This window comes from Homo sapiens, chromosome 14 (genome assembly GCF_000001405.40).
Source record: "Homo sapiens chromosome 14, GRCh38.p14 Primary Assembly".
In the NCBI taxonomy this organism is placed as follows: domain Eukaryota; kingdom Metazoa; phylum Chordata; class Mammalia; order Primates; family Hominidae; genus Homo; species Homo sapiens.
This window is the reverse complement of record NC_000014.9, coordinates 91,447,607-91,463,801: the sequence shown is the minus strand read 5'-3', so window position 1 is coordinate 91,463,801 and position 16,195 is coordinate 91,447,607. Positions and strand designations below refer to the sequence as shown.

The following is a 16,195-nucleotide window of genomic DNA, read 5'->3' as shown; positions in this document are numbered from 1 at the left end:
AAATACGCACATGGACCCCCTGAACCTAAAATAAAAATTAATTAATAAAACATATATGTCCATGGCCAGGGATAGTGGCTTATGCCTGTAATCCCAGCACTTTGGCAGGCCAAAGTGGGAGGATTGCTTTAGGCCAGGAGTTAGAGACTAGCTTGGGCAACATATCAAGACCCCATCTCTACAAAAATTTTTTGTTAAAACTTAGCCCCGTATGGTGGTGCATGCCGATAGTCCTAGCTGCTCAGGAGGCTGAGGTGGGAGGATTGCTTGAGCCCAGGAGTTCAAGCCTGCAGTGAGCTATAATCATACCACTATATCTCAACCTAGGTGCCAGAACGAGACCCCATCTCTAAAAAATACACATACCCAGCCCGCACATCAGAATCAGAATCACCTAGGGCAAGACCTGGGCATTTACTTTGTAAAGACCCATAGATAGCTGGGTGCAGTGGCTCGCACCTGTAATCCCAGCACTTTGGGAGGCCGAGGCAGGCAGATCACCTGAGGTCGGGAGTTCGAGACCAGCCTGACCAACACGGAGACACCCCATCTCTACTAAAAATACAAAATTAGCCAGGCGTGGTGGTGCATGCATGTAATCCCAGCTACTCTGGAGGCTGAGCCAGGAGAATCGCTTAAATCCAGGAGGCAGAGGTTGCAGTGAGCCGAGATCATGCCATTGCACTCCAGCCTGGGCAGTAAGAGCAAAACTCCATCTCAAAAAAAAAAGACCCATAGATAAATTGGGGACTACTATAGTAGCCAGTGTACGTTATTCCCATTTTTTATTGTTTGGTTATCTCTAAGATTATGTAGTTTTATTAAATTAAGCTATTTTTGGTGGGTATGAATTGATTAAATTAAGCCTCATCTTGCTAAAATGACATTTTCCTATCATTTTTTCATTACTATTCTTTTCTGTAGGAAGATATAAAATCATTAACTGCTCATGTAATTGAAAATTACTGGAAAGCACTGGAAGATGTAGATTATGTACAGACATTTAAAGGATTAAAACTGAGATTTGAACAACAAAGAGAAAGGCAAGATAATCCCAAACTTGACAGGTAAATTACCATATATTTAAACCTATTCGTTCAGCATCAAGTCGTATGGTAGTGGCTTTATTGTTTATTTGATATTATTTGGCTTGACAAGGAACAGGGAAATCAGCAGATAGCAAATAGAAATTGTAGCTTCCTGTAAGGGTCAACATAAATGTTTCCCTGAAGATTAGGCTGGTTATTAGTATAATACCTCAGGCATGTATCAGGCTAGATAAGGGAAAAAAAAAAAAAAAGACCAAACAGTGGAAGTGAGGCTTCATGTGTTCCAAATAAAATCAGAGGATTATATTACTTGCTTTGAATTTACAAGTTACTAAGGTTACAAATTATTATTTAAAATTTTGTACATTAATCTAAATACCTGGATTTACATTGATACTTTAATATTTGTAAATTTCATGTTAATTCCCTATGTTAACAAGTTTAATAAGTCATCTGTAACAGTACAATTAAGTCCATATATGATTGTATTTACTCTTTCTTCCCTACTCATAGTATGCGTTCCATTTTGAGGAATCACAGATATCGAAGAGATGCCAGAACACTAGAAGATGAAGAAGAGATGTGGTTTAACACAGATGAAGATGACATGGAAGATGGAGAAGCTGTAGTGTCTCCATCTGACAAAACTAAAAATGATGATGATATTATGGATCCAATAAGTAAATTCATGGAAAGGAAGAAATGTATGTTGGAAAAAAATGGGCAAGAGAAAATTAAGGCTTTCTTACTCTAGATTTATTCTTATTTCTTGACAAAATGATTATTTGCTTGGAAGGTGTGATGGCATACGGTTTAAAGACTCTATTGCTTTATGGGATGTGACTGAATAGCAGTGTTGTGTAGGCATAAACTTAAGTTTTCTTAATTTGAGTTGAATAAGGAATATACTATTTCAGGAAGGGTAGGGATACTAAATATGATTCTGAAGGTTTCAATTCTTCTCTGGGGTAAGATCCAATGAATGGAATTGTGGTTAGTATTTTGGTAAGCTTCTTTTATAAATTGAACTTCAATGTTTCTACCCAGCGTAGTAAGCTAGTTAAATGTGTTTTAGTGTTACCTCATTTGGGGAAATTTAAAAAAGAAGTATGGGGGACGACTATTGACAGTATTCTCATTTTTAGTAAAAGAAAGTGAGGAAAAGGAAGTGCTTCTGAAAACAAACCTTTCTGGACGGCAGAGCCCAAGTTTCAAGCTTTCCCTGTCCAGTGGAACGAAGACTAACCTCACCAGCCAGTCATCTACAACAAATCTGCCTGGTTCTCCGGGATCACCTGGATCCCCAGGATCTCCAGGCTCTCCTGGATCCGTACCTAAAAATACATCTCAGACGGCAGCTATTACTACAAAGGTACATTCTTGACTCCCATTTTGCCCCCTTTTTTCCCAATTGAAGCTTTCTCAACAATAATTTTGACTAAGATTCCCTTTGGTTACTGCCACCTAGAACTGATTTAACATCCCTGAACTAGAGGATGAGTCCCCCCCACCGCTTGAACTTATATAAAGGTTGAGAAATTTCTGAAAGTTTTTTTTATGACCAATGCAAGTCTGCATATAGTGTGAATTCTCACTTGGGTATTTTGGATTTTAGAACTGAAACTTCAAATTTGTATGTCAAAACATTTACAGAAATGTTCAAGGTTTTCAGTTATTCTTGAATAAATGTTCCTAACTAATACCCAGATAAAGCCTTTGTGGGGAAATGATAATCTAAATATCTGGGTACTTCTAACTTTACTTTGCCAGTTAAGGTTTGTTAAGAAAATTAAACATCTACTATCACTAACATTTCATATAAGAAATGAACAAGGGCTGGGCACGGTGGCTCACGCCTGTAATCCCAGCACTTTGGGAGGCTGAGGCGGGCAGGACACGAGGTCAGGAGATCGAGACCGTCCTGGCTAACGTGGTGAAACCCCGTTTCTACTAAAAATACAAAAATTAGCCAGGCGTGGTGGCGGGCGCCTGTAGTCCCAGCTACTCTGGAGGCTGAGGCAGGAGAATGGCATGAACCTGGGAGGCGGAGCTTGCAGTGAGCTGAGATCGCTACTGCAACAGCGAGACTCCATCTCAAAAAAAAAAAAAAAAAAAGGAACAAAATCTTAAGAAAAAATGTAGAAAACATGCAATCTCAGAATAAAACCAGTTTTGGGGGCTCCTTATGCCAACCACCCTTTTCTTTTGAGACATAATATATTGATTATTGGGCTAGCAGACTAGCAGTTAAAAGACTGGCATTTGGGAATCACTGATCTAAATCAGACACGTAATGCCCATTCAGTCTTTTTTTTTTCTGGCGTGAGCTGGAGACTCCTGACGGCTAAGAAGTGAATCTGAGACACGCTGAAATGAAGAGGCAGGCTTGAGAGCAGAGCAGTGTGAATTTTTCCCTTAGCATCGAAATAAAGCAAGCAGCAGCCAGGCGCGGTGGCTTACGCCCGTAATCCCAGTGCTTTGGGAGGTCCAGGGGGGTGGGTCACGAGGTCAGGAGATCCGAGACCATCCTGGCTAATACGGTGAAACCCCGTCTCTACTAAAAATACAAAAACATTAGCCGCGTGTGGTGGCGGGCGCCTGTAGTCTCAACTACTCAGGAGGCTGAGGCAGGCGAATGGTGTGATCCCGGGAGGTGGAGCTTGCAGGGAGCTGAGATGGCGCCACTGCACTCCAGCCTGGGCGACAGAGTGAGACTCCATCTCAAAAAATAAATAAAGCAAGCGGCAGTGGTTTCTGGTGAAGGAGCAGGGCTAAAAGGAAACCCAGATGAAATGATGAGGAAGAGTCAGGGTAGAACTGCTTTCCTAACCTCTAATAAATAGAAAAAGCCTGTCTACCCTCATTTCTGGTGGTCTCTTTATCTGCTGCAGTTTTCATTTTGGTACTTTTTTTTTTTTTTGACAGAGTCTCAGTCTGTCACCCAGGCTGGAGTGCAGTGGCGTGATCTTAGCTCACTGCAATCTCCACCTTCCAGATTAAAGCGATTCTTGTGCCTCAGCCTCCCAAGTAGCTGGGATTACAGATGTGCACCACCACACCTGGCTAATTTTTGTAATTTTATTAGAGACAGGGTTTCACTATGTTAATTAACAGGCCAGGCTGGTCTCAAACTCCTGTCCTCATGTGATCCCTCCGCCTCAGCCTCCCAAAGTGCTGGAATTACAGGCACAGGCCACCATGCTCAGCCTCATTTTTATACTATTTTAGACTTTATGTTTAAAAAAATTTTAAGATGCTATTAAGTCTTGAAACAAACATTTTTCATTCATTTTCTAACTCCTGGGTAATTTGCTAGGATTATAAACTACTTAAATTTTTTTGCTTTAGTTTGGGTGCAGTGGCTCATGCCTGTAATCCCAGCACTTTGGGAGTCCAAGGTAGGTGGATCGCCTGAGGTCAGGAGTTCAAGACCAGGCTGGCCAACATGACAAAACCCTGTCTCTAGTAAAAATACAAAAATTACCCAGGCGTGGTGGCGGGCGCCTGTAATCACAGCTACTCGGCAGGCTGAGGCAGGGAGAATTGCTTGAACCTGGGAGGTGGAGGTTGCAGTGAGCCGAGATCGCACCACTGCACTCCAGCCTGGGTGACATAGCGAGACTCCGACTTGGAAAAAAAAAATTTTTGCTTTAATTCTAATTAACTCAAAGTTTTCCCTTATTGTAAAAAAGTATGCATGTTTATTACAGGAAATTTAGAAAATATGTAAACATAATGAATTGAAGTTTAACACAGTCCCACCACCCAGAAATAACCACCGTTACTATGTTGGTAGGATCTATTTTCTTTCTCCAGCCAGAAAACACCAGTGTTTTTATATGTTTTATTTTCTGTTCTTTAAATAATCCTTATTTCTTAACAGGGAGGCCTCGTGGGTCTGGTAGATTATCCTGATGATGATGAAGATGATGATGAGGATGAAGATAAGGAAGATACGTTACCATTGTCAAAGAAAGCAAAATTTGATTCATAATAATGGCAACGGCCTAGGATCAGTACCTGTTGAAAAAAACTGGTTCTCCACCCCTCCCCCATACAAAATCCACAACAAAGCGCAGTGGTCTCTTGTGAATGACTGACACAGATCAGCCTCTTACACTTGACTTCTGCTCATCAAGTGCCAATTCAATGGAGCAGGAGGAGGGGATATCATATATTTAGGGGAAAGACTTAAGCCTTTGAGCTCTCCAGCTTGGACCACACATTGCCCTTTTCTCAGGGAAGGAAATGGAAACAAAAAGCCAACAGGGCAGGGGTTTTGTAAGTGGAACTCTGGATTGACTGGTCAGTTGCTACAATCAGAATATGCTTTCTTGGACCATGTTTGAGACTCAGAAGAATGGGCCTTTCTGCCATAATTCTTCACTAGTCAAGAATGCCAGCAGTTTCTTTGTATAAAGAGACCTGCCTTTAAAATCATACATTCTGAACATTTTAGTCAAGCTACAACAGGTTTGGAAAACCTCTGTGGGGGAGGGGCGAGTATAAAGTTTTCCTCTTTTTTAACTGTTCCCTTTGCCCTTCAAACTGCAGATATTTTTTTTTTTAAGTGGGGACTTCTCCCTACTTGATTAAAGATTGAGTGGAATTCTAGATGTGGTCATTTGTGTCATAATTTTTTTGTTTTATTTTGTTTTTGATTTTTTTTTTCCTCCCCTGAGTGTATGCTTAGTTGTTGAGTATATATATTTGGGACCATTAAAACTTTTTTTGATGTAATATAACCTAACGTTGTGCTGGTACCTGTTTTACCATGTGTAATTTTTGTTCTACATCACAGTTCTTAATTTGTTTAGAGTTTTATGAAAGATGGTATAGTTTTTATTGACAAAAGCAAAGTAATCTTACAACTATGTGCATACAAAAGCAATACTATTTTGTGACTAAATATTTTATATTAAAATTTACATCAGCAACTGTCTTGAGAATTCAGGGAAATAGAATGGAATTTAAAACTTCAACAGTTTTGTTAAATCTAGAAACATGAAATTAGTATTCCAAAGAGATTCTGAAATTTCTTTTCTTGGGGAAATGACGGTACATTAAATCAAAATTGAGGATGGATGATTTAAAAACATTTGACTTTTGAATAATAAAAAGAAAAGTGAAGAGTAAGAGAAATTGTATTAGTTGTATGTTTCTTGTTTTTGTTTTTAACTACTCCCTTTGGAATACCAGTTTGACTTGTAAGTGGTGGTTTCTAAATAAATACCTGGCCAGAGGACCATCACCTGTCACCTTATTAAAACAGTATTTTTAAATAGGTTCTTTTTGTTGTCTTAGATGTGATCAAATTATTTCAAGGAAAATGAAAATAATTCTACTTACCCTCACTTTTTAAAGTGAAGAGTTTAGAACTTAAGAATATATTTTCAAATGTGAATAAAACTTCATATCCAGGAAAGGATGCTATTTTAAGTATCATATACTTTAAGAGTATCTAGCAAGCGCTGTGTGCTTCTCTGTCTTGTCTTGTTTATTCCTCAGTAAATTACAATGGTGGTACCAAAAACAAGACTATACTGCATAGTTGGATAGAAAACCAGAAAGTGTCAACTTGCTACAGTCATTAAAAGTTTTATTATTGGCTGATAATTTTTTTTAACAACAAAAACTTTGGGTGCTTAATTATGAGATTATATCTCACTAGAGTATAGATCTAATTAGGAGGCACAAGTTTTGGCTATTAATAATTGAAGTTAATCAACTTATCTTGCAAATAAAGAGAAGAAAAACTCTTAGGATCTAAGCCAATTATATTATGTCTTCCTTTTTTACCTAGAAAGCCCCATGCCAAGTAATGTTTCTGCTTTAAACATATAGTTTAAAACTGACCTTTCTGGATGATTCTTGAAACACTTGTCTTGGTATTCTGCAGGTTCTTAGATTGAGGGAAGAACTTGCATCACTTGATTTCATTTTGTGGTCCAGTATATTAACTGCTGGCCTTCCACAGTTAAGAGATGACTTCTCATTGATGGACTTTTGTGTTCCCTTAGTTATTAGTGATTATGGTTACTGAAATAGAAACCTGACACAAGTGTTCCTAAAACAGGAGAAATGAGGTTAGAAACAGCTTGTCATCTTATGAAGGAATACTGTTAGAAATTGCTAGAAATACAACACTACACACAGTTCCATTGACTCAAAAGTCCATACTTTGTTTCACTCTGTCACCCAGTCTGGAGTGCAGTGGTATGACCATGGCTCACTGCAGTCTTGACCTCCCAGACTCAACTGATCCTCCTCCCTCAGCCTCTCAAGTAGCTGGGACCAAAGGGACACCACCATGCCTAGCTAATTGGTTATTTTTTGTAGAGACGGGATCTCCCTATGTTGTCCTGGTCTCAAGTGGTCCTCCTGCCTTGGCCTCCCAAAGTGCTGTGATTACAGGTGTGAGCCATCATGCCTGACCAAAAGTCCAAACCCTTAATCAAAGATACTATCTTGGTAACTGACACGAATGTAGTTAAAAATTATTTCCCACCTTAACGATACCAATTGGTTCTTTCGGTCATTTTGCAGTGTTTAAAATGAAAACATTTTCACCTCCCAGAGTGAACTCAACAGTTTCTGAAAAAGATTTATAATTATTGCAGGAAACACCTTGACATCTTTTTAATAGAATGATGTGTCTTTTTTTTCTGCCCAATTATACTCAGATCTTGCATCTAATTTTTCCCAGAACTCCAATTTGCAAGTCAATCTTTTTGAATTTGGAAATGCAGGGGAGGCATGGAGCAGGGGAAAACATTCCCTACTATTTGTTCTTAATTAACAATTGGTCATTGTAAAGGCTGCAAGATTAGAATGGCAACAAGTTTAAACTGGAAGATTTTAAGTGGAAATTTTTTCAGGTTGTCAGATTTCTGGTATTTAACCATAAATAACTGCTAAAACAGCATTGTCAGAGTTCTTTTTGGAGGAAAAATTAGGCCCTCAAAATTCTTTTATTCAGATTATATTAACTTTTTCTGACAATGTTATTTCAAGAAAGATTATAGACATTTTTATGTATGGACTATTTACCATTACACTGGGGCTTTGAGAGCATATGAGGAAATGAGAGTCATCAGTATATTGTGATTCCCAATGCTAATTTCAGTTTTTATTTCTTCAGCCTTAATATCTTATTTTGGCTTTGTAGAACGATGAATCTGAAAGAAAACTGTAGAGATCCTGTTTTCAGCTGAGTATGTTAACGCTGGAGTCAAATGTCTCATTTCTTCAAATAGTTCTTGTTGGAGACACAACGTTCCTTGACCCTTTTCAGTCTCCTGGATAAAAGGTTCTTCTTCCATGTACTCAGAGGAAATAGTGGTTACTTCAACATGAGGCCAGATGGGCTTTTGTTTATTTCCTCTGCCTCCTACCATTTCAAAGAAAGTGCTCTGGTATAAGTAACATCCTACCTGCAGGTTTATTGGATCCTTTTTCGTTCTCTATTATTTGACGCTGAGGCAGCATTAGCTACCAACCACTGTTTTTTTTGATATCTTTGTCTTGGTTTCTACACATGTGTTTTAACTTTTTTTTTTTTTTTTTTTTTTTTTTTTTTTTTTTTTGGAGATGGGGCCTCTGTTGCCCAGGCTGGAGTGCAGTGGGGCGAGCACAGCTCACTGCAGCCTTGACCTCCTGGGTTCAAGCAATCCTCTTGTCTCAGCCTCCCGAGTAGCTGGAACTAGTTATGTGACACCACGCCTGGCTGATTTTTGTATTTTTTTGTAAAGACTGGTTTTCACTGTGTTGCCCAGAGTGGTGGTGATAAGAGACAGGGTCTCGCTCTGTTGCCAAGGCTGGAGTGCAGTGGCACAATCATCACTCATTACAGCCTTGAACTGGCCTCAAGCAATCCTCCTGCCTCAGCCTCTCTAATAGCCAGGACTCTAGTAGCTGGGACTACAGGTGCGTGCCACCATGGGTTTTGTTTGTTTTAAGAGATGGGATCTCACTATGTTGCCCAGGCCAGTCTCAAATTTGACGTCTCCATTCTCTACCCCTTCAATGCTGGGATTCATTAGGTTTCCACCTTTGTGCACTCAACTTCCCAAGCTCTGACCAGACCACATTTCTTGTTAGGTCCTTGACACAATCATGCTGTGCTCTAAAGGATCTGCCCTTACCTGCACTGTGCCCCTTTTCTTGACTGCTCTTTTCTCTGCCTTGACTGCTGATGAACTTAAATTCTTTCAACATTCAAAAGTGATCCCCTGATACCCCCACTCATTTCTTGAAGGAAGGGGCTATATCCTTTTCAACTTTGTATCCCTAGCATATAGCATGATACTGAACCCACAGGCAGATTTTGGGTAATCTGAGTAAATGAAGGAAAGACTGAATAATGTGCACACAGAGTACAGACTAGGAAAGCAGCTGATGCTCTTAAAACAGTCAAGAGTTTGACTTATTCTTGACCACAAAATTTCCTATCCTTTGTACCCATGAGCCTTAGGGTAATTCTTTTTTCTTTTGTTAATGAACTGCAGCTAGAAAGAGACCTTAGGGTAATTCTAAAAGCCCAAAATACCCCCTTGGCATAACATTTGTTGCATCAACAATTCCTACAGTCCTGCTTCTTTAAGCTTTCCTGGTTTATTCATCTCTGCCCCAGCACCTCTAACTCCTCAGCTCAGCGTTCATTTTGGTCATAGGTCTTTACCCCTAAGTAGGACTTTCATCACCAGACCTAGTATGAGCTGGTTGGTTCCTCAATACCCGGGCCACAGGCCAGCAGCAGTCCATGGTTAGGAACTGGGCCACACCGCAAGATGTGAGCAGCAGGCAAACGAGCAAAGCTGTATATTTACAGCCACTCCCTATTGCTTGCATTACCACCTGAGCTCCACCTGTCAGATCAGCAGTGGCATTAGATTCTTACAGGACCGCAAACCCTATTGTGAACTGCACATGCAAGGCATCTGTCACTGTCTCCCATCACCCCCAGATGGGATGGTCTGGTTGCAGGAAAATAAGCTTGGGGCTCCCACTCATTCTACATTATGGTGAGCTGTATAATTATCTCATATATTACAATGCAATAGTAGAAATAAAGTGCACAATAAATGTAAGTGCACTTGAATCATCCCAAAACCATCCCCCCACCCACCCTGGTCTGTGAAAAAATTGTCTTCTATGAAACCAGTCCCTGGTGCCAAAAAGGTTGGGGATCACTGCTCTAAAGGAAGGTGAGGAAATAATAATACTTTATTAACCAACCTCCAAGATAATTCTGATTGGCTTATACTGTGAGAGGTAAAAATCTCTCCAAAACTAAGAGCCCAGAAATATTTGGCCTTTGGAATGTTTAGGGTGGCTTTCAACAAAGGTAGAGAATGAAGAATTAGTGAAAACCTTTCACCCAAAACCCCCAATTCAAGCCCTTCAAGGGCCTACTTTGGAAGACTGGAATGGGATAGGGGTTGGGGTGCAAAATAAAAGAGGCTAAATCAGCACTCAGGAAATCCCACAATATGTGTTCCATGCTTGTATGTTGATTGATAAATTGATTCTAAGAACGCTTTTCCTGGTAAGGCAGCAGTGAAAAGTGGACAAAATGGAATAGCAAGAGCATAGAAAGGCCTGGGTTTAAATTCTTACTCTGCTAATAAGATCTTAGGCAAGCTCCTTTAGCCTTGGTTTTCTCATTTGTGATAGGAATAATATCCACAAAACAACATGAGGGCTGTGGAATATATGTGTATATAAAACAGCTATCCCAATGGTAGGTACTCAATAAGTAGTAGCTATTTAATATATATTAATATAGTCCAAACAAGTCTGTAAATTATCTACTTTTAGGAGTCATTCATAGTCTATGCAGTGGGAATTAATATATTGATTAAGATTATACATCCATAAATGGCTGAGTGAGGAACTTGGCAAATCTCTCCCCAAACAGCAACGTTAAAACAGCAAAATTGCCCGGGCACAGTGGCTCACACCTGTAATCCCAACACTTTGGGAGGCCAAGGCAAGAGAATTGCTTGAGCCCAGGAGTTTGAGACCAGCCTGGGCAACATGGCAAAACCCTGTCTACAAAAAATACAAAAATTAGCCAGGCATGATGGTGTGCCTGTAGTCCCAGCTACTCTGGAGGCTGAGGTGGGAGGATCACTTGAGCGGGGGAGTTTAAGGCTGCAGACAGCCATGATCTCACCACGGCACTCCAGCCTGGGTGACAGAGACCCTGTCTCAAAAAACAAAACAGCAAAATTGCCAAAACCAACCATTTCAGGACTGTAGAAATCAACCAAAGACATATAACAAATTAAGAAAACAATCTTGGTGGGCCAGGTGCAGTGGCTCACACCTGTAATCCCAGCACTTGGGGAGGCCAAGGCAGGCAGCTCACTTGAGCTCAGGAGTTCGAGACCAGCCTGGCCAACATGGTGAAACCCCACCTCTACAAAAAATGCAAACATTAGCTGGGCATGGTGGCACATCCCTGTAGTTCCAGATACTCCGGAGGTTGAAGTAGGAGGATGACCTCAGCCCAGGGAGTCAAAGCTGCAACAAGCTGTAATCATGCCACTGCACTCCCACTTGGGTGACAGAGTGAGACCCTGTCTCAAAAAATAATAATCTTGGGTAAGAACAGTGGGAGTCTATCTAGAATTTTGGCCTGGGGCTACTCCCATCCCCCGAAGCCGCCTTACTTCCCCACTCCCAATCCCTCAGCTCAACCAGCTGGGTAGTTCTACTAAGCAGGATAGATTTCATTTGGAGTGGAGGGAAAAAACACACTCCTGCTTGTTCACAGAAGCAGTAGCTTGACCAAGAAAAAAAAGGACTCAGATTATTAACGTCAGAAATAAAAGACACTTGGTTGGGACATTACTACCAACCTTGAAGGTTGGTAGTATGAATAATTGTATGCCAGTAATTAGATAACTCAGATGAAATGGACACATTCTTAGAGACAAACTTCTGAAACTCAAGAAGAAACACTATTTGAAGAGATCTATAACAAGTGAAAAGATTGAATTAGTAATCCAAAAGACTATCCCCACACACAAGAAAACCCTGGAGTCCAGATGGCTTCATTACTGAATTTTACCAATTCTTCACAAACTTCCAAAAAACAGAAGAGGAGGGATCACTTCCCAAGTCATTCTGTGAGATCAGTATTACCCTAATAACAAAATCCAGACAAAGATATCACAAGAAGAGGAAGCTACAAAGTATCTCTGGATATGGTTGCAAAAATTCTCAACTAAATACTAGGACACTGAATCCAGCAACAAAGAATTATATACCATGACCAAGTGGGATTTATCCTAGGAATGCATGGTTGGTTTAACATCTTTAAATCAATTAATGTAATAAGCCATATCAAAAGATTAAAATACAAAACCACATGATTATCTCAATAAATGCAGAAAAAGCATTTGACAAAATTCAACACCATTTCATGATAAAAACACTACACAAACTCAACCAGATAAAGAGCATCTAAGAAAAATCTAGAGTTAACATGATAATGGTGAAAGACTAGATGTTTTCCACCTAAAATCAGAAACAAGAAGTGTCTCTTGCCTCTTCAACATTGTACTGCAGGTATTAGCCAATTTAGGTAAAACAATTAAATGAAAAGCATCAGATTAGAAAGGAAAAAGTAGCTGGGTGCAGTGGCTCATCCCTGTGATGCCAGCACTTTGGGAGTCCAAGGAGGGTGGATGGCTTAAGCCCAGGAGTTCCAGACCAGCCTGGCCAACATGGCGAAACCCCTTCTCTACAAAAAATATTTTAAAAAATTAGTAGCCAAGCGTAGTGGTGCATGCCTGTAATCCCAGCTACTCTGGAGGCTGAGGCAGGAGAATCACTTGAACCTAGAAGGCGGAGGTTGCAGTGAGCTGAGATCGTGCCATTGCACTCCAGCCTGGGCAACAGAGTGAGACTCCATCTCAAAAAAAAAAAATTAGCTGGACATGGTGGCATGAACCTATTGGTCCCAGCTACTCAAAAGGCTGAGGTGGGAGGATCACTTGAGCTCAGGAGGCAGAGGAGATTGCAGTGAGCCAAGATCACACCGCCATACTCCAGCCTGGGCAACACAGTGCCTCAAAAAAAAAAAAAAAAAAAAAGTGGAAGAAGTAAAACTGTAGATGTTTGTGGATGCCATGATCTTGCATGCAAAGTCCTAGGGAATTCATACAAAACTCTTAGAACTATAAGCAGGTTCAGCAAAGTTGCAGATGTAACATCAACATACAAAAATCAGTTGTATTTCTGGGGCCAGGCGCGGTGGCTCACGTCTGTAATCCCAGAACTTTTGGGAGGCCAAGGCAGGCAGATCGTGAGGTCAGGAGATCGAGACCATCCTGGCTAACACGGTGAAACCCTATCTCTACTAAAAAATACAAAAAAGTAGCCGGGCGTTGTGGCGGGTGCCTGTAGTCCCAGCTACTTGGGAGGCTGAGGCAGGAGAATGGCATGAACCCGGGAGGTGGAGCTTGTAGTGAGCCGAGATTGCGCCACCGCACTCCAGCCTGGGCAACAGAGTGAGACTCCGTCTCAAAAAAAAAGCTGGGCGCGGTGGCTCATGCCTGTAATCCCAGCACTTTGGGAGGCCAAGGCGGGCGGATCACCTGAGGTTGGGATTCACGACCAGCCTGACCAACATGGAGAAACCCCATCTCTACTAAAAATACAAAGTTAACTGGGCATGATGGCACATACCTGTAATCCTGGCTACTTGGGAGGCTGAGGCAGGAGAATCGCTTGAACCTGGGAGGCGGAGGTTGTGGTAAGCCGAGATCGCGCCATTACACTCCAACCTGGGCAACAAGAGACTCAAAAAAAAAAAAAAAAAAAGTTGTATTTCTATACACTTGCAATGAATAATCTGAAAATTTAGAAGACAATTCCATTTACAATAGCATAAAGAAAAATAAGATACAAACATATTTAACAAAAGAAGTCCAAAGTTTATACCCTGAAAGCTAAAAAACATTGTTGAAAGAAATTAAAGTTTTGTTTGTTTGTTTGTCTGGGGACAAAGTCTTGCTCTGTCACCCAGGCTGGAGTGCAGTGGCGCGATCTCAGCTCACTGCAACCTCCACCTCTTGGGTTCAAGCGATTCTCGTGCCTCAGCCTCCGGAGTAGTTGGGATTACAGGTGCACTCCACCACGCCCAGCTGTTTTTTTGTATTTTTAGTAGAGATGGGGTTTCTCCACGTTAGCCAGGCTGGTCTCAAACTCCTGGCCTCAAGTGATCTGCCTGCCTCAGCCTCCCAAAGTGCTGGGATTACAGGCATGAGCCACCAGGCCTGGCCAAAATTAAAGATTTAAATAAATGGAAATGCATCCCATGTTTATGGATTGAAAGATTAATATTGTTAAAATGGCAATATTCCACAACTTGATCCACAGACGGAATGCAATCCCCATCAGAATCACTAGCTGACTTATTTGTAGATGTTGAAAAGCTGCTTCTAGAATTCATCTGGAACTGCAAAGGTCTCAAAATAGCTAAAACAATCTCTAAAAAAAAAAAAGAAGAAGAAGTAGGAGGACCCACACTTCCAAATTTCAAAACTTACTACAGAGCAAGAGCAATCAAGACAGTGTTGTACTAGCATATAAAATAGAGATCAATTGAAATGGAAGAGAGAGTTCAGAAATAAAACCATGTGTCTATGGTCAACTGATTTGCAACACGGATATTGTTACAAGCTGAACTGAGTACACCTAAAATTCGTCTGTTGAAGTGCTAACCCCCAGTCCCTCAGAATGTGATGGTATTTGGAGACAGGGTCTTTAAAGAGGTAACTAGTGGCGTGTGCCTGTAGTCCCAGCTACTTGGGAGGCTGAGGCAGGAGAATTGCTTGAACCCAGGAGGCAGAGGTTGCAGTGAGCCAAGATCGCGTCACTGCACTCCAGCCTGGCGAAAGAACAAAACTCTGTCTCAAAAAAAAAAAAAAAAAAGGTAACTAAGTTAAAATGAGTCATTGGGGTATACTTTTAAGAAGAGGTAATTAGGACACAGACAGACACAGAAGGAAGATTATGTGAAGACATAGGGAGGAGAAGCTGACCATCTAGAAGCCAAGGAGAAAAGTGTCAGAAGAAACCAATCCTGGTAACACCTTGATCTTGGACTTCCAGACGCCAGATTTGTGAAGAAATACATTTCTGTTGTTTAACCCACCCAGTCTGTGGTATTTTGTTATGGTAGCTCTAGCAAACTAATACCTATTTTTTTTTTTTTTTTTTTGAGACAGAGTCTCACTCTGTCGCCCAGGCTGGAGTGCAGTGGCACAATCTCGGCTCACTGCAAGCTCCGCCTCCCGGGTTCACGCCATTCTCCTGCCTCAGCCTCCCCAGTAGCTGGGACTACAGGCGCCCGCCGCCACGCCCGGCTAATTTTTTGTATTTTTAGTAGAGACAGGGTTTCACAGTGTTAGCCAGGATAGTCTCGATCTCCTGACCTCGTGATCAGCCTGCCTCAGCCTCCCAAAGTGCTGGCATTACAGGCATGAGCCACCGCGCCCAGCCACTAATACCTATTTTAATACCAAGAGTAGATCTAGAGAACAGAATCTTTTTTAAAATTTTTAATTGTTATAGGTACACAGTAGGTATATATATTTATAGGGTATATGCAGGTATTTTGACACTGGCATAAAATATGTAATAATCACATCAGGGTAAATGGGGTATCATCACCTCAAACATTTATCCTTTGTGCTACAAACAATCAAATTATAATCTTTTAGTTATTTTTAAATGTACAATTAAATTCTTATTGAGTACAGTCATCAAATGTTGTGCCATCAAATACTAGATCTTAGATCTTATTCTTTTTTTTTTTTGAGACAGGGTCTTGCTCTGTCACCCAGGGTGGAGTACAGTGGCGTGATCACAGTTCACTGCAGGCTCAATTTCTCTGGCTTAAGTGATCCTTCCACCTCAGCCTCCCAAGTGGCTGGGACTAGAGGCGTGTGCCACCGTGCCCAACTAATTTTATGTTTTGTAGAGAGGGAGTCTCACTGCGTTGTCCAGGCTGGTCTTAAACTCCTGGGCTCAAGTGATTCTCCCACCTTGGCCTCCCAAAGTGCTAGGATTACAGGCATGAGCCACTGCACCCAGCCCCTAATTTTTTGTACCCATTAACCATCTCCACC

At 41.0% G+C, this 16,195-nt stretch overlaps 1 protein-coding gene and 1 long non-coding RNA gene across 10 annotated transcripts in view; one reads left to right on the top strand and one right to left on the bottom strand.

Annotated features, from left to right (window-relative positions):
* The window catches only part of PPP4R3A (protein phosphatase 4 regulatory subunit 3A), a 53,047-nt gene extending 46,753 nt beyond the window's left edge, over positions 1–6,294 (top strand). For all 9 annotated transcript variants that reach the window (NR_169193.1, NR_158976.2, NR_169191.1 and 6 more), the window contains 4 exons: positions 925–1,067; positions 1,563–1,753; positions 2,195–2,421; positions 4,933–6,294. Coding sequence is in view for 5 of the 9 variants with exons in the window: in XM_047431561.1 (XP_047287517.1) it covers positions 925–1,067; positions 1,563–1,753; positions 2,195–2,421; positions 4,933–5,043 (672 nt within the window). In the remaining 4 variants the exon portion in view is untranslated. The remainder of the gene's footprint in view (positions 1–924; positions 1,068–1,562; positions 1,754–2,194; positions 2,422–4,932) is intronic.
* A 337-nt stretch (positions 6,295–6,631) lies between these two features.
* LOC124903361 (uncharacterized) lies at positions 6,632–15,324 on the bottom strand. The gene is made up of 2 exons (XR_007064305.1): positions 13,749–15,324; positions 6,632–7,116 (listed from the first exon to the last, which is right to left on the bottom strand). It is a non-coding gene; the product is annotated as an uncharacterized LOC124903361 (long non-coding RNA).
* Between the last annotated feature and the right edge of the window lie 871 nt (positions 15,325–16,195).